At 39.0% G+C, this 16,911-nt stretch overlaps 1 protein-coding gene across 12 annotated transcripts in view; it reads right to left on the bottom strand.

Moving 5' to 3' along the window:
• Positions 1–16,911, bottom strand: part of AKAP6 (A-kinase anchoring protein 6) — a 508,387-nt gene that overhangs the window by 283,613 nt on the left and 207,863 nt on the right. For all 12 annotated transcript variants that reach the window (XM_047431969.1, XM_047431966.1, XM_024449755.2 and 9 more), the window contains one exon: positions 7,073–8,842. In XM_047431969.1, coding sequence (XP_047287925.1) covers positions 7,073–8,842 — 1,770 coding nt within the window. The remainder of the gene's footprint in view (positions 1–7,072; positions 8,843–16,911) is intronic.

Here is a 16,911-nt window from a genome sequence, read left to right as displayed (position 1 = left end):
TGCTAAGTTAATTTTTCACCATTCTGTTTGATTTCATCTGTTCCAGATATATTCTTCCCTTTTATCTCCTTATTGCTTTTATTCTATTTCTTGAATGTATCGGAACAAATGTGTCTGTTTCCATTACTTGACTTCGCTTCTGGCTTTGAATTTTAGGCCTTGAGAAGTTCCCGTAGGTGTTGAGCACTCAGACCTAAGATGCTCTAGTAATTTATTCACACAATGGGTTCTGGGTAAATCAGCCAGAGTTAAGCAAAATCCCCTCAACCCTCAGAAAAAGATTGGGAACAGACCATCCCTTGGGAACTCAGAGTTTACTAGGAGTTTTTATTTGTGGAAAGGGAATGGTTACAACTGATTCCCCAGTTTTAAAAATATTGCCTTAAAATTTTTGTTTTCATTGGCTTATATATGTAAAGGCCTTCTTAAAAAATATGTAAGTACTAAAAACAATAGTGATCACATATGGTGAAGTGAGAATTCAAGATGGAGTGATAAGGATGAGAGGGGGATTTACTGAGTATTTTTAAATGTCTATGATTTAAAACCATGTGAATATATTATCCAAAAATCAATTTTCCCAAAGAATAAAGAAATCTTGGCCAGGCGCGGTGGCTCACGCCTGTAATCACAGCACTTCGGGAGGCCAAGGCAAGTGGATCACAAGGTCAGAAGTTCGAGACCAGTCTGGCCAACGTGATGAAACCCCGTTTCTACTAAAAAAAATACAAAAATTAGCTGGGCATGGTGGTGGGTGCCTGTAATCCCAGCTACTGGGGAGGCTGAGGCAGGAGAATGGCTTGAACCCAGGAGACCCAGGAGGCGGAGGTGCAGTGAGCTGAGACCGTGCCACTGCACTCCAGCCTGGGTGACAGAGCAAGACTCCATCTCAAAAAAAAAAAAAGAAAAGAAAAAAGAAAAGAAAAAGAAAAAAAGAATCTTTTGTTTTACAAAATTAGTCTATTATAAGAAAGATACAAATGTGAGGGGTGGGGACTGACAGGAACCTACTGGAGATTCTATCACAGCCCCACACTCTCTTGCAGTTACTGGGCTTCTATGTGCCTCCTGCCTTCTGCTCTGTGTGACTCAGAGAAGACAGAGTGGAGGACTCTGCCATGATGAGTTAATGGACTCCACTTTCCATTTGACAGAAGTGGAATTAGAAGCAGGATATATTTTTCAGTATTTTATCATTCTTGATACCAGGCCATAATTCTCCCTATGAGTTCCACATACCCTCCCTTCTTTCTCAGTGTGTCCACATTTACATAGTCTTTCTAGCTACTTCAATCTCTCTTGCCACTTCTGCCTTCAAATAAGCTTCAATTTTTTAAAAAAGACTTTTGACTTTACTTTCAACTACTGCCCTTTGCCTCATATTGTGTTTTCAATACAATTCCAGGAAATATTAGGAATGATTGTTTTTTACTTCTTAATCACCTATATCTACTTTCACTCCTTCATTAAGTCTGTTTTTTTCCTAAGGTCTTCATTAATTATTTCAAACAAATCTAAAGGTTGTTGGGTTTTTTCCCCTTAGTCTTTATTATTCTTGATCTATCTTTTGCAAAGAACAAAGCTAATGTCCATTTTATTTAGTATCTCTTTCTCTCTCTCCATGTATTTAATACCCAAGAATTCTTTCTGTCCCTTCTGATCCCCACAACTGGATCTCTTCCTTGTTCCTGTCTCATAACTGAGCTACAACTTGAATCTCAGACATCAGTCCCTCTGCTTTTCTCCATCTAGTCTCCTTCTTTTAGGGAATTCATCTATTCCCAAGTCTTTATCTTGTGGGAGGAATAAAACAGATGGTGGCCTGAAGCCTGGCTCTGTAACTTATTAGCTGTGCTGCATAGGAAAAATTGTTCGTTCATCTTTCTAAACTCAGTTTCCTCTGTTCTAAAATGGGGATTCAGTCATTCAGTAGTCTTTATCGAGCAATTACTGTACACCAGGCATTGTTCTAGGTACATGAGATTCATTAACAAACTAAACAGATAAATATTCCTGCCCTCACAGAGTTCCCATTCTAACAGAGGGAGACAGACCAAAAATAATAAATATACTACATTAGAAAATTATATAAAATTACAGAATGTAGGCCGGGCGTGGTGGCTCACGCCTATAATCCCAGCACTTTGGGAGGCCGAGGCCGGCGGATCACAAGGTCAGGAGATAGAGACCATCCTGGCTCTCACGGTGAAACCCCATCTCTACTAAAAAAAAAAAATACAAAAAATTAGCCGGGTGTGGTGGCAGGCACCTGTAGTCCCAGCTACCTCAGAAGGCAGAGGCAGGAGAATGGCGTGAACCTGGGAGGCGGAGCTTGCAGTGAGCCGAGATCGTGCCACTGCACTCCAGCCTGGGCGACAGAGCAAGACTCCATCTCAACAAACAAACAAACAAACAAACAAACAAACAAAAATTACAGAATGTGGTGAGATCTGTAAAAGAAAGAAAAGGTCAGATTACACCTTTTTTTTTTTTTTTTTTTGAGACCAAGTCTTGCTCCGTTGCCCAGGCTGGAGTGCCATGGCACGCTCCCAAGCTCACTGAACCTCCACCTCCCGGGTTCAAGCAATTCTCCTGCCTCAGCCTCCCAAATAGCTGGGATTACAGGTGCACACCATCACACCTGGCTAATTTTTGTTTATTTAGTAGAGATGGGGTTTCACCATGTTGGCCAGGCTGGTCTCAAACTCCTGACCTCAAGTGATCTGCCCACCTCAGCCTCCCAAAGTGCTGGGATTACAGGCATGAGCCACGGCGCCCAGCTGGGTTACATCTTTTAAAAGATGGTCAGAGTAGTCCTCTCTGAGAAGATAATATTTTAGCTGAGACTTGGAACAGGTGAAGGAATTATAAATGAGGGCATCTGCTGGAGAGGATGTAGACAAAAGCAGCTGACAATGATCCTAAAGGCAAGAAGCATGCCAAGTATGTTCTAGGAAAGGGAGTGTAGTGAGCATGGGGAAAAGTCATTGGAAAGGATGTCAGAGAGGAAATCAGGGAACAGTCCATGTAGGACCTCTGAATACAATGGCAACCCTCTATTGTGGAGTTTGGAGCAGAGGGATGACATAATCTGATTTATCTTTTAAAAGGATCACTCTGGCTACTCTATTGGAAATAGACTGTAGTGAGAGAAGAATAGAAGCAGAGAGACCAGTTAGGAGGCTACTGCAGTAATCCAGGAAGGAGGTGATGGGGGCTAGAACCAGAATGGAACAGGAGAGAAGTGGTTAGTGGTTAATTTAGGATTAAAAACCTACCTTAGAGGGTTGTTATAAGAATTTTATGGGAGAGTTATTATAGGTAAAATGCCTAGCAGATGCCTTCTATAAAGAAGATATTAAGTAATATCCTCTGTCATTATATTTTCCAGGCAGAATGGGTTCTCTGGGTCACTATAAGGAGGAGACCAAAGCTAGAGTGTGATAGCCAAGGCCAGTTGACCTGGAGGTTGGCAGCTGCCCTCATCTGGTGTAGTAAGGGAGAGCATGCGGGAGAGCGCTGCATATCATAAAGTCATATACAAATTATATGTAGCCAAGCGTGGCCATTTATATGTCATCAAACAAGAAACCATTAACAATTATCCACCATTAACAATCAAACCATTAACAATTTCCAGCTGGCCTGAGGAAGGAACTTGATCTTCTTTTAGCCTCTTCCCTCATATCCCAACTCCAGTATGGGATTTTTCAACTGCCTATAAACCATTTCTTCTTAAAAGTTTCATCATATGCTATCTATGCACGGTTTTTAAAAAATTACCTGCACCACCTCTACTTCAAACCAGCTACTCATCCAAATGTTTCCTTCTATTAAAGACACACCAGTCTCCAGATGCTGAAAACCTAGCTGCATTTTTGTAGAACTGTGGAATCAAATTGGAAGTTGGTATCATAGTCATCATCGGGTTAAAACATCTCTTTACAAAAGATGAAACAAGGCTCAGAATGGAATATGCCAAGCTGTGGGCCACACCAGGCTTTAATCACTGAATGGCTCCTGAATTCTTTCTAGCAAGGTCTAGAACCAGTTTTCTGGACTCATTCACTTTTTCAACACTCCCCTCCCTTCCTCTTGCCTGATCCACATCACAGCAGTTCCTCAGGTTGGCTGCCACAGGCCAACACCTCTGCCCTGGTCACCGCCATGTCTGCCAGGACCATCTTTCTGTTATTGCCAATTAACCCTTCTGGAAAGACTACTAGAGACCAGGGCCTACACTGCTTTAAGAATGCTGGTTATGGGTTCAAATCCTGGCTTTGTACTTACTAGCTGTGAGGACTTGAGCAAGTTTCCTAATCACATACTGCCTTAGTTTCTTCATCTGAAAAAATCCTCCCTTCCGGGACTTAAGTAGGGTAAGCCACGTAAAATACTTAGTACAGAGCCAAACACAAAATAAAAGCTTAAGAAGTATTAGTTATTACTGTCAGTCCCTTTCAGAGAAGTTGCTGTGGGTGCCTGGTGAACAAATTCTAATTGCCTTGGCGTGGCCTTCATGGCCTTTCCATACCTACTTTAGGTATGGAAACTTTCACTGATCTCTGATGACAAACCTTCCAACCAGGACAGCTCTCTTTGTACCCCATATCCATGCTCATTCTCATTTCTACCTCTGTGTTTTAGTTTATGCTCCTCCTACCTGAAACGCCACCTTCCTTTTCCTTTATCTGTCTGAATCCTGTACATCCTTCAAAGCTCCACTTAAGGTTTAGTACTTCACAAGAACTGCCCAGTCAAATTCTAGCTCCACTGATATTATTACTACTCTACAATACCACAGTTTTTATATTCGGTACTTATTGATCACTTCCTCATGGACAGGAATGAGGGCATTTAGTTAATAATATGGGCTCTGGAGCAGACTGCATGGTCTCTCTCAGCCTGTCTCCTCAGCCATAAAATAAGGTTAATATCAGGGTTGTTGTGAGGACTAGATACACGAATACTTGATATATGTTAATGATGATTAATATGTTATTACTGCTGTATATTTGATAACTTTTTCCTCTTTGTTTATAAACCTGCATTTTCTTCCTCCAGGTTATTCTATCCATATGCACTATACCTTTATCCAGTGTCTAGCACAATGCTGGTCTCAGAGTAGTATTCGACAACGAATGGATGTAAAAAAAACAAAAAACAGAACAAAAAAAAATTAGGAGGAGTGCCCATGGCAGTTACATCAATATTCTCTATCCAGTCTGAATGGGTCCTGAACTCTTTCTTCTCTCCTATCTTATAGTTTCCCGGCGAAGGAGAAACTACAACCCCTTTCAGGGAGGCAACATGATACTATAGAAGAAAACTGGACTAAGAATCAGAAGACGTGAGTTTGCGTCTCAGCTTCCTACACAAAAGGTCTGTCTGGTTTGTCTGTCTCTGTCTCTGCCTGTCTGTCTGTCAGTCTGTCTATCTGTGTCTGTCTGTTTGTCTCTATCTAGCTACCTACCATCTCTTTATATCTATCTATCTATCTATCTATCTATCTATCTATCTATCTATCTATCTATCTATCTATTTTAGCTTGAGAAAAATCACTTAAGCTCATGGAGGCTGTTTCCATCTCTGTAAAGCGAGAATAATCTGGCATGGCCTGCTTCCTTCACAGGACAGCTGTGAAGATCAAGTAAAAAAAAAAAATGTATGGGCCACGCACAGTGGCTCACGCCTGTAATCCCAGCACTTTGGGATGCCAAGGCAGGCGGATCACCTGAGGTCAGGAGTTCGAGACTAGCCTGGCCAACATGGCGAAACCCCGTCTCTACTAAAAATACAAAAATTAGCTGGGCATGGTTGTGGGGGCCTATAATCCCAGCTACACGAGAGGCTGAGGCAGGGTAATCTCTTGAACCTGGGAGGTGGAGGTTGAAGTGAGCTGAGATGGTGCCATTCCACTCCAGCCTGGGCAACAGGAGCAAAACTCTGCTCAGAGGAAAAAAAAAAAAAAAAAAAAAGCATGTGGGAGAGCGTTGCATACCATAAAGTCATACACAAATTATATGTAGACAAGCATGGCCATTGATATGTCATCAAACAAGAAACCATTAACAATTATCAAGTCAGCTGGATCTACTTCCAATGGCCTCCTGAGGAAACGGCCATTACCACAGTAATCATAGTGAATCTCTTTGCCCAGATGCCTCTTAAAAGATCAAATAATTACTTATACTATGGAGCTCAGTCCTGAGATTTTTTTTTTTTTTTGAGACAGGGTCTCACTCTGTTGCCCAGGTTGGAGTGCAGTGGCATGACCACAACTCACTGCAGCCTCAACCTCCTCAGCTCAAGCAATCCTCCTGCCTCAGCCTCCTGAGTAGCTGGGACCACAGGTGTGTGCCACCGCTCCTGGCTAATATAGAGATGGGGTCTCCCTACATTGCCCAAGCCGTCGGTCCTGAGATTTTTGATAAGTCTGTCCTCAAACATTACGTCATATCTAGTAATTTGTTCAAAAGTACAGATTTAGCCAAAATGTCAACTTCACATCCCAGAGTCCATGGGTGGTACATGTATAGGTAATATGGTTATTAGCCAGAGTTCTCAAAGAGGAGGAAGAGTAAAGAAAAAAAAGATCCCTAATAAATTAGAAATGTCTGGTCTATTTCTACAAGAAGTTAACATTGGAGATGTGGAATGTATTCTGGAGTCAGAAGAAATGAATAAAAACACTCTGGGGTAACTGGAATAGTCTATGCATATATTCCTGAGCTACTTGTGTGTGCACAGCTATCATTCTATTTAATTTTGTATTAGATCCAAGGGGTTCCAGCATTCATCAGTAGTCATGATAGATTTGAACAATTTCAACAAAGAATTCTATACCAGGCAGGAGCACATCAAGCTAATGCACTGACAAGGGCAATTCCTAGTGATTCATACTCTTTGTCACATGCATTGATCATTGTGCTTTTTCTTTTCTTTCTTTGGAGAATCAGATTTATCAAAAATAGCCATACATTTTATAATAGAGTGTAGGAGTGTGACCTTCTCCCAGCAATACTTCCAAAACTCAAGTGAGAAATCATTCATGTTAAGAAAACCACCTTACCTCTATTTTTTCCCATATGGCTTCATAGTTGTCTTGGTGCTGAATATCTTGCATCAGTTTCTGAATTAAAGCTGATTTAGTGGCAGAATGGCTCTCATTTTTCTCAGAGGATGAAGCTCTTTCTGACTTCTCATCAGCATACTTTTTCATGCCAGCGAGAGGCATACTGGACTCCTCATCAGAAAGAATGTCACTCAGGGGCCCAGATTCAATGCTCTCCCCTAGTGAAGAGGCTATGTCACTAGATGAGCTTGGAGACACCCTGCCTAGCCTTGTATGCTTCTTTTTGACATGATAGGTTGGATAGATTTCAGAATCTGAATTCATTTCAGACAGTTCCCAGTCATCAATATTCTGGATGGTTTCTCCTCTGGGTTTCTGAGGCAGAAGCTTTGTTAGGTTTTCCAACTTCAAAGCCAATACTTCTGTCTGCTTAAGGTGAGAGGGCAGTGCTAGGTATTCATCAGAGCCATACCAGGCCTCCACAACCTCACCATTCCTAGTGACGTGACTTGGAGAGGAGGCTTGACCTTTTTTGCTTTTGTGTTTTGAAAGAAGTGGCACCGGAGACATGATGTTGTCTGAGCCAACAGAGGATTCACTGCTCTGAGTAAAAGCTGGTGAACTGGATGTTTCTGACTGCAATTGCAATTTGGCATTCCAACTTCTCTGATTACAAGGCTCAAGTGAGGATGTGGAAGCAGAATTTGTTTGTGGCCCCTCTATGGCCTTGGAAGTATAAGAAAGCTCTCCATTTGGCACTGCTGAGCTCTTTGTATTTTTAGCTTGTTTGCCTGAACCAGTCCCCCGTTTAGGTGTTCGGCATGGAGGCACCTCTTCTGAGGTCTTGTGTGGCTTTTTAAGTCGAGATTTCTCTTTATAGCAGTCGTTAAGCCTTCCCAGGCTGGAAGAAATTTCTTTAATGTGAAATTTGACTGTGTTTTCAAGGTTCCCATTCCCCACCTTGTGTAAACACTCATAAGACTGGCTGGCAGCAGAAGGGCTGTTGGGGTAAGAAGACTGCAATACCAGGCAAAGTTTGGATCTGTCAGGAGGATCTACTAGCGAAGGGGTGCTTCTGCTCATCTCAGGCTTTAGATCAACCATTTGCCTCTTTCCACCATTGCCTTTCAGATCATTCTTAAAAGTTTCCTCTTTAAGAAAAAGTCCTCTTTTTGGCAATGTAGGCTGCGTGGGAGAGTCCTCGTTATAATTAAAGCAATCTCTGATGGTTCGTTTGGGGGTTGCATTTTCACAAGGAACAGGCTGCTGATTCTTTGCATCATGATGGGAGGAGGAACTGGATTCTTGCTGCACAGTCTCAGAGGAGGGTTGAGCAGCATTTGTCAGAGCTTCTCCTGAAGATGATGACACCCCCAGTGTTAAGCCTGGTTGCTCTTCGACTGCAGAAGCATTGTCTTCCTCACATCCACCTTTGTCGTCTACTGAGAGAGATACTTGAGATACCTCCTCAGTAACTGCTTCACTGCCATTGGTAGAGATAGAGTCAGCAGCTACCGTAAGTAAACCAACACTTCGGATAAGCTCAGGAAACTCCTTTTCCATCTCACTGTAGCTCCAAGAGTCAAAGGGTTTGGTTTTGACTTGGCTAGAGGTCATGTCACCTAGCCCACTGAGCAAATCCTCACTTGGACTGTAGTCAGACAGTTCGAATGCAGTAATGCCACAATCCAGAGACAAGTAATTTTGAGAACATTTGATGGTTAATTGTCCTGAGTCATCCACTTCTGTTAGAGAATCAAGCCGGCCCTGAAACAGACAATGGCAATGGTTTCAGTAAATGCAACATCAATTACAACATCAGCTGCTATGTAAATGAAATTGCAGTACAGGGCACTATAAAGGTCAAATGTATTGGTCCCTATTGCTTGTGGTTTGACATACACAAAGGGATATTAATCAATTACCACATTGCTTTATATAGTATCTTGTTCTTAAACACCTGAAGATTTTTCACTAATCTGGAGTATACAGCCTTAACAGAAATGTCAAGAGCAAGCCAAAAAAATCCATTCTTGACTTAATTTTCAACTTAAAAATAATATATTATTCATTTAATAAGAATTTCATAAACAAAGCCTTAAGTAATACAATTTCTGGGATCAAAATAATGTAAAAGTAAAATCTCCACGAATGTCTGTTTTGCTTTTTGCTATCATTCCAGTACCTACCACAGTGGCTAACTCATGGTAGATGCTCAATAAATATTTTTAAGTAGAATAATTAATTATAATAAGCCAGTTGTGTTAAACATATATTGATGAATCAAAGGAAGGTAAACTACTGAATTTGCAAATACATAATAGTTCAAGACCAGTTTCTGTTTGGCCCCACCCTTTTGAAGGAGAAAATTAATGAATGTCCAAACTTTATCATTAGAGATAGCATCAGCTCCTCCCTCTGCATGTTTTTCTCCCCAAGTCCTGCTCCCACTGGTGTTTGCGAGCTGTTAAGTGCCCATCTTTCTTACTATTCATAATTCTGGATAGGCTGATTTGATTTAAAACTCCCTCACACTAAAAAAACAGCATTACGATTAACTATTTTTAATTTGTTAAATCTTTAATTCTGTAATTAAGGCTTTTGTCCCATTACTAATGCAGTTTCTGATTTCATACAACAAATGGGAAGATTTTCACTGATGATTTGTTTGGGGTAGAAGAGCCCTGGGAACTATCCTATTTTGCCTACTGGCTAAATAACAGACTGATCTAACCTAGCCCCCTTAGGAAATGAAAAAAGAAAACTGAAAAGTGAAGGGTTGTTACATCCCCAGATCTCCTTTTTTTCTGGAGGAAGAACTGTGGTGAGCCAATTGAAGCTGGATTCCATGTGGCTGCTGGACCCTGTGATCCTTTCAACCAGGTTTTCCCAGATCTGGCTTCTCCAGGATCTTATATCTGGTTTTACTGCTCATTTGTTTGTTTTTGTTTTTGGAATGTTCTCTCCCTTCAGACCTTCACCCTGCCTTTATCTCCTACTCCACTCACTCTCATTCCATAACATCTAGATAAACAGACAAAAAGCCTTATTTAACTTTTCTAAGCCTCAGAGTCCTCATCTATAAATGATGATGGTTGATTACTACAATTACTTTTTCATTTAATCCTTAAAATTTTCTTCTGCCGTCTGTACTATTGTCCCTTTCTTACATAAGAGTAGCTTGGACCAAAAGATGACACCGGCCCTGGATAGAGGCTGTCCCCAAAGTCTGTATTCTGCCCATTAGATATTACTTTAAACTGGCATGCCCCCACCTCCAATTCGTTTTCCACACTGCCACCAGAATAACCTACACAAATTGCAAATCTGTTACTTCTTTGTTTAAAGTCCTTTAGAAGCATCCTGTTGTTGTTAAGTTAAAAATCCAAACTTTTCCTCAAAAAGGCTAAAAATTGAACTACCAATCCCACTAATAGGTATATATCCAAAGAAAAGGAAATCAGCATGTCAAAGAGATATCTGAACTCCCATGTTTATTACAGCACTATTCATGATAGCCAAGATATGGAATCAACCTCAGTGTCCATCAGCAGGTGAATGGATAAAGAAAATGTGGCATATATCCACAATGGAATACTATTTTGCCTTCAAAAAGAAGGAAATCCTGTCATTTGTGACAACATGTATGAGCTTGAAGGACATTATGTTAAGTGAAATAAGCAAGGCACAGAAAGACAAATACCACATGTTCTCACTCATATGTGGAAGCTAAAAAAGTTGAACTCAGAGAAGCCAAAAGCAGAATAGTAGTTACTAGAGGTTGGGAAAGGTAGCGGGTGGGAATAGCTAGAGGCTGGTTAATGGATACAAAATTACAGCTAGATAGGAGGAATAAGTTCTGGTTTCTATAGCAGGGTCAGATGACTGTAATTAAAAGCAATTTATTCTACATTTTCAAATAGCTAGAAGAGTGGATTTTGAATGTTCCCAACATGAAGACACAATAAATGTTTGAAGTGACAGGTATGTTAATTTCCCTGATTTGATCATTGCATTGTGTGCATGTATCAAAATATTACACTGTACCCTATAAATATGTGCAGTCATGTGTCAATTAAAAATAATAAAAACAAAAAATGACACACTTCAATGCAAAGATATATTGCTTTAATATTTGAAGATCTTCCAAGTATATGACTGAAGACAGAAATCAACGATGTCATAGATAAGTATTTTTAAAACACAACCAAAACCCTTTCAAGGCCAGGCCCAAAGAGGCCTTTCTTATGCTATTCTCCCCTCACTGGCCACACGCGGCCACAGTATCCTGCTTTCACTTTCTGAAAATACCATGTTCCCTCCTTCCTCAAGGCCTTGGCACATGCTGCTTGCCCTGCCTGGAAAGCTTCCAACCTATACCCCTTAACTAGTTGACTCTTCCTTATCACTCAGATTTCAGCTTAAGTTTCACTTTTTCAAGATTCCAGATCCACATGTAAGTCAGAATATTTTATTGTAAGCCCTGCTTTCTCTTTAAGCATTGATCTCAATTTATAAATAAATACTATTGTGATTATCTGATCAATTTGTTTTTCCCACTAGTTTGTAAGTACTATGACAGTATAAATCACACAGAAAATGGTTGTCTTACCAGGGTACTCGTAGCACATAGCATAGTGATCTGCACACAGAATGCACATATGTTGAATGAATGAATGAATGAATGACAACATTTTAGAATGTCTCTCTATGCCTTCCTATAATTTCTTTCTCTGATTACATAGTTTTAGTTAACTCCAATAATTAAAAGCCCAAGTTTCGAATTCTGGCTGTAGCACTAATTAGCTATGTGACCATGAGCCAGTAGCTTGATGTTGCTAAGCTTTATTTCCTTCATCTATAAAAAGGAAATGATAAGCCATGCCATAGGGGTGTTGAGAGGCTTAAAGGAGGTAATATATGTAAGATATGTAATATATGTAAGTCTAGTACATGGATGAGTGCTCAATGAATGTTCACTCTTATTACGTTATTATTTTTAATAATGAAGTATATTGAGGAGGAAAGTTTCAAGATGAGAGTTATTGCTAACACTAAATTATACTGCACAAAATAAGAAATCAATCTCAACAAAAATCACCTAAATGGAATTGTATAACTTTTGTGCTTCATAACTGAACTAGAAATCAGTCAGCCAAACAAAAGTTATACTTTATGCAATTTTTAAAAGAGTAATAGTGAGATTCCCAATTCAAAAGCAGGTTGTATTTTCTTTAATCTTTTCATTGTTCATTACTCAGAACTTATTCTTTTACAGAAATAGTATTATAAAACGATGGTTAAATTCCAAAACTATCTCATAAAACCTATTTAAATTAATATGTAGCTGAAATTTGCAACATGATTTTCTGTTACATTTATCATGGTTACTGCACCGCAGTGCTTATATGAGGTTATAGAAAAGTATTTATATGATAGATTTAAAAAAAAGAAATTTGAGAGTCCAGGTAAAAATTAGACTCCAAACTGAAGTGTCAGCCACCTGCCTTTGGACAAGCAGGGAACATGATAGTCTTGCAAATATATTTGGTCCCCATTCTGGTGGTTATTGCACCTTAAGACCAGGGTACTGTCTTGCTCGAGAATAACTGATGCTCAATCAGTGATGTTACATGAATATATTGAATATATATATATATATATATTAGATGAATATATTGTTTACTGAATACATCTCAGAGAATAAAGTATAGCTGCCTTTTCTTAAATCTCTAGCCAGTTCCTGGTTTAGAAAAGAAAACGCCATACTCAAAAACACTTAATGCTTCAGAGGAAGCTCTCTCCCATCCTGTCCCACCATATCAGTCCGGCCAACCATCTCAACTAGTGAGTAAATACCATCTTAACCAGTGAGACAGTTGAGTGATTATCACTTGTGGGGTAATAACTATTTTTTATTTTTATTTATTTTATTTCCATAGGTTATCGGGGAACAGGTGGTATTTGGTTACATGAATAAGTTCTTTAGTGGTGATGTGTGAGATTTTGGTGCACTCATCACCCAAGCAGTATAAACTGCACCCTATTTGTAGTCTTTTATCCCTCACGGGGTAACTATTTTTTATTCAAACTGTATTTTTTAATGCAAAAAAAAAATCCCTCCCTGAAAAAAAAAACAAAGCAAAACCAAAAACAGTATATAGTATTTCACTATGCAGAGGCAATTGTAAGAAAAGAAAGTTCTCTAAAGTTTCTCAGAGCAGATGAATGAGTTTTATCTCTGAAAATATTGCTTAGTAATACTAATGTTTTTAGTTCTGTTGCTTCCCTCCACATCATCTTCCCAGATAGTTTTCTAACGTGTATACATAATAAAGTCTCAGGAAGATATGGAGTTAGGGGTGTTGCCTGTTGGTTTTACTGCCCTTATTTCAGAAATATCACATGTAATTGTGTAGTACTTGTAGCTGGGTGAGAGCCGCCTAGCCATGTACCCACTCCACTTAAATATACCTCCATTTAACATGTTATGAAGCAGGCCAGGCGCAGTAGCTTACACCTGTAATCCCAGCACTTTGAGAGGATGAGGCAGGTGGTTTGCTTGAGCCTAGGAGTTCAAGACTAACCTGGGCAACATGGCAAAAGTCCATCTCTACTAAAAATACAAAAATTAGCTGGGCGTGGTGGCATGTGCCTGTAATCCCAGCTACTGGGGAGGCTGAGGCAGGAGAATTGCTTGAACCCGGGAGGCAGAAGTTGCAGTGAGCCAAGATCGTGCCACTGCACTCCAGCCTGGGAAACAGAGTGAGACTTGTTCTCAAAAAAAAAAATAAAAAATTAAAATATATATATATATATATATATATAGAGAGAGAGAGAGAGAGAGAGAGAGAGAGAGAGAGAGCGCACGAGCAAAGAACACCCCTCCTTTTTTTTTTCTAATTCTAAGCAAGACATTTTACTCTGTTCCTTTTCCATAATTAACTGAAGCCTAGTTCCAAATGCCTTCTTAGATCTTTCTTTTTGTTAACACTATGTTTCGCCACCAACTGAACATGAAATCTAACATTCGTAACTTAGAGATGCGGAGATCATGAGTCCTCAGACCTGTGGGGGCTGTGGCATTCTAGTAAGAGGCCCATCAATTTACATGTTAGTCTACATGGACTAGACTTTGTCAGATTCCTTTCAGCCCTACCACGTTGGGATTCTATGATTCCGAATGCATCCCAGAGAACAGCAGTTGATGAGAAGAGCAAGTAATGACAAGCAACTGTGAAGTACAACAAAGGTTTGTTTCTCATAGGCAAGGGGAAAACATATACAAAAATCTTTCAATATTTTTATTTACACAATATTAATAGTTCTTAAGAGAACTTCCATTTTCTACTTGCTGAAATTATGAATCAAACAATTAATCTTCATGATTAATTCCCAGTTTATCAAACTGAAATTATGTCTCCCTCTTCCACATCTAAAGCAGGGATTATCTGTATTATTTAATTCAACTAATCAGATTTTTTTACAGCAATATGAACTATGTGCTGTGGGAGATACACAGATGAATATAATCTGGAACTAACCCTCATGTAGTTCAAAATATAGCACATACTTTGGCCTGATACAATTTGGCCCATTATAAGTGCCAGTGGAGGAACCCACAAAGTGCTATGTTGTGAGCACTCTGGAAGGACCAATGCATCCCCACGCAGAAGGTATCATTTAGGTAAGTGCTTACCACACCATCTAGCACATGGTAAGTTCTCAATCAATGTTTCCTATTGTGTTGATATTATTAAGAGTTATCACTCTCTTATCACCTGTGTGACATTACCTCTCTTGACCCCAATTCTCTCATCTGTAAGATGAATACAATCATAATACCTGTAAATTGAGGATAACAGCACTTGCTCTGCCTACCTCTCAGAACTATGTGAGGACCAAAAAAATTATGAAGGTCATTTCTAACATGTGTTATTCACCTTTGAATGCATAGAGTCTTATACATAGTAAGAAACCAATAAATAGAGAAGATAGAAGGAAGAAAGGCAGGGAAGAAACAATAATTATTATTAAAATAGAAATCAGTTAAAAACTGGTTTTGTTTTATTTAAGTACACCTAGATTTATATCCTTAAATATTCACTTAAATTCTTCTTTTTTAAAATTTAAATTTAATTTTAATTTTTAGTTCTGGGGTACATGTGCAGGATGTGCAGGTTTGTTACATAGAAGTATTCACTTAACCTATTCTTAAATTCAATTTTTCCATCTATAAAAGGGAACTACTTTTAATATCCCTCACCTTCCTTCCTAAATGAAACAAATTTAAAGTGCTTATCACAATGTCTGGAATATAGAAAATTGCAGAACAACATATTTTTTAAATAGTTTTGAGCTTTGCCTTCAAGTGTTCTTTATTTGTTTGTTTAGTTATTGACTAGTTTTATTTTAGTAAGGTATTGGCCAATTTTTTTTTACTAGATATGGTCTGCTCCATATTTAAATAAAGAATAAAGTTCATATATTGTTTTTTCAAGAAGAGAAGAAGATGGAATTTGCCACTCTCCAGAGTTTCAAACTTGCTCTTTAATATGGCTCTGAAATTTAACTAACTTCCAGAAAGAGAAAAATGAATCTTCCTTTACTGGAAGGACATCTACTATTCTAATTTACCAGTGCTTTTTAAATTTGGGTGTTTTTTTATTTTGCCATTTCCCTCATCATTCTACAAATCTTTCATAGTTGAATTTATTCTGAGAAAGCTGATAATTTTATCCTAATTATCTTCCTGCTTTTTACAATTCCATTGTGCTAGCAGAAATAAATAAAACTAAGCAGTCTTTTAAACATCCTCATAGAGTCACACTAGACACACAGAAATAAAGGATCAGAAATCTAATTTCAGGAAGTATGGTTATAGAGGCAGAACTTTAATTCATAGAAATATATCCATAAAGCGGATAACTGAAAATCTACTGTTCCTTTACCCCTCACACAAAAATTTTCTGCAATCTCTACAACAGGACTAAAGACTGACTTCAAACATAAGAATGCACTAAACTGCTTCCAATCAAATCCATTCATAATTGCTGAGTTCGTGTTGTGAGAATAGATGCTACTTATTGTAAATTCACAACACAGTTGTAAAAACAGTGGCCAGCAACAATTACCGTCCATGGCTCTTCATCATTTATTGAGCTACTACTTCATGAATGATACAAGTTCAATTAAGTGTATGATGAATGTATTCCACAGAACAATAATAACAACAAACCCTAGAGCACTGCTATATCTCCAGCTCCTACAACAGAGCTGATTATCAATAAATGTTTATTGATTTAATAAATATATGATTTGAATCAATGATTTTTAATCTCCTTCTAGTAGTAGAAAGCAGGCAGATTTGATCACTGACCAGCATTGGATGTTGGACAGAGCACTGGGTGTTGGACAACAAATGGGGAAGGGGGAAGAAAAGAATATATAGACTTGAAGATGCCAGGTAGATATCTAAAGAAAGATCTCTCTAGAGGTTATACAAACCTTCCTCATCTCTGATCTCCATTAGCACATTCTATCAAGGATATCAGATTTAGGGCAAAGTTGGTCAGCTTGAGATTCTTTGTAGTCTCCCATAACCACAACAGTCCCAGTTGAGAACCCTCTAGGGATCTAACTTGGGAGGGATGGCATCTGGGAACTAACACGCAACTCACATATTCATCCCGTGGTTACTCTACTGAAGTCCTGCCACAGTAACAAGGAGAGCTAACTGAAAACAAAGACTGTGACTTAAAGTTAGAGGTAAGCCTAGTCGATTTTGATTCCTATAGACTTCTAGGCACTGCGGAGAGTTTGCCACAGCAAGAAAC

The sequence above is a fragment of the Homo sapiens genome, chromosome 14 (genome assembly GCF_000001405.40).
Source record: "Homo sapiens chromosome 14, GRCh38.p14 Primary Assembly".
Lineage (NCBI taxonomy): Eukaryota > Metazoa > Chordata > Mammalia > Primates > Hominidae > Homo > Homo sapiens.
Note: the sequence above shows the minus strand (reverse complement) of the source record. Positions and strands in the feature narration are given on the sequence as shown.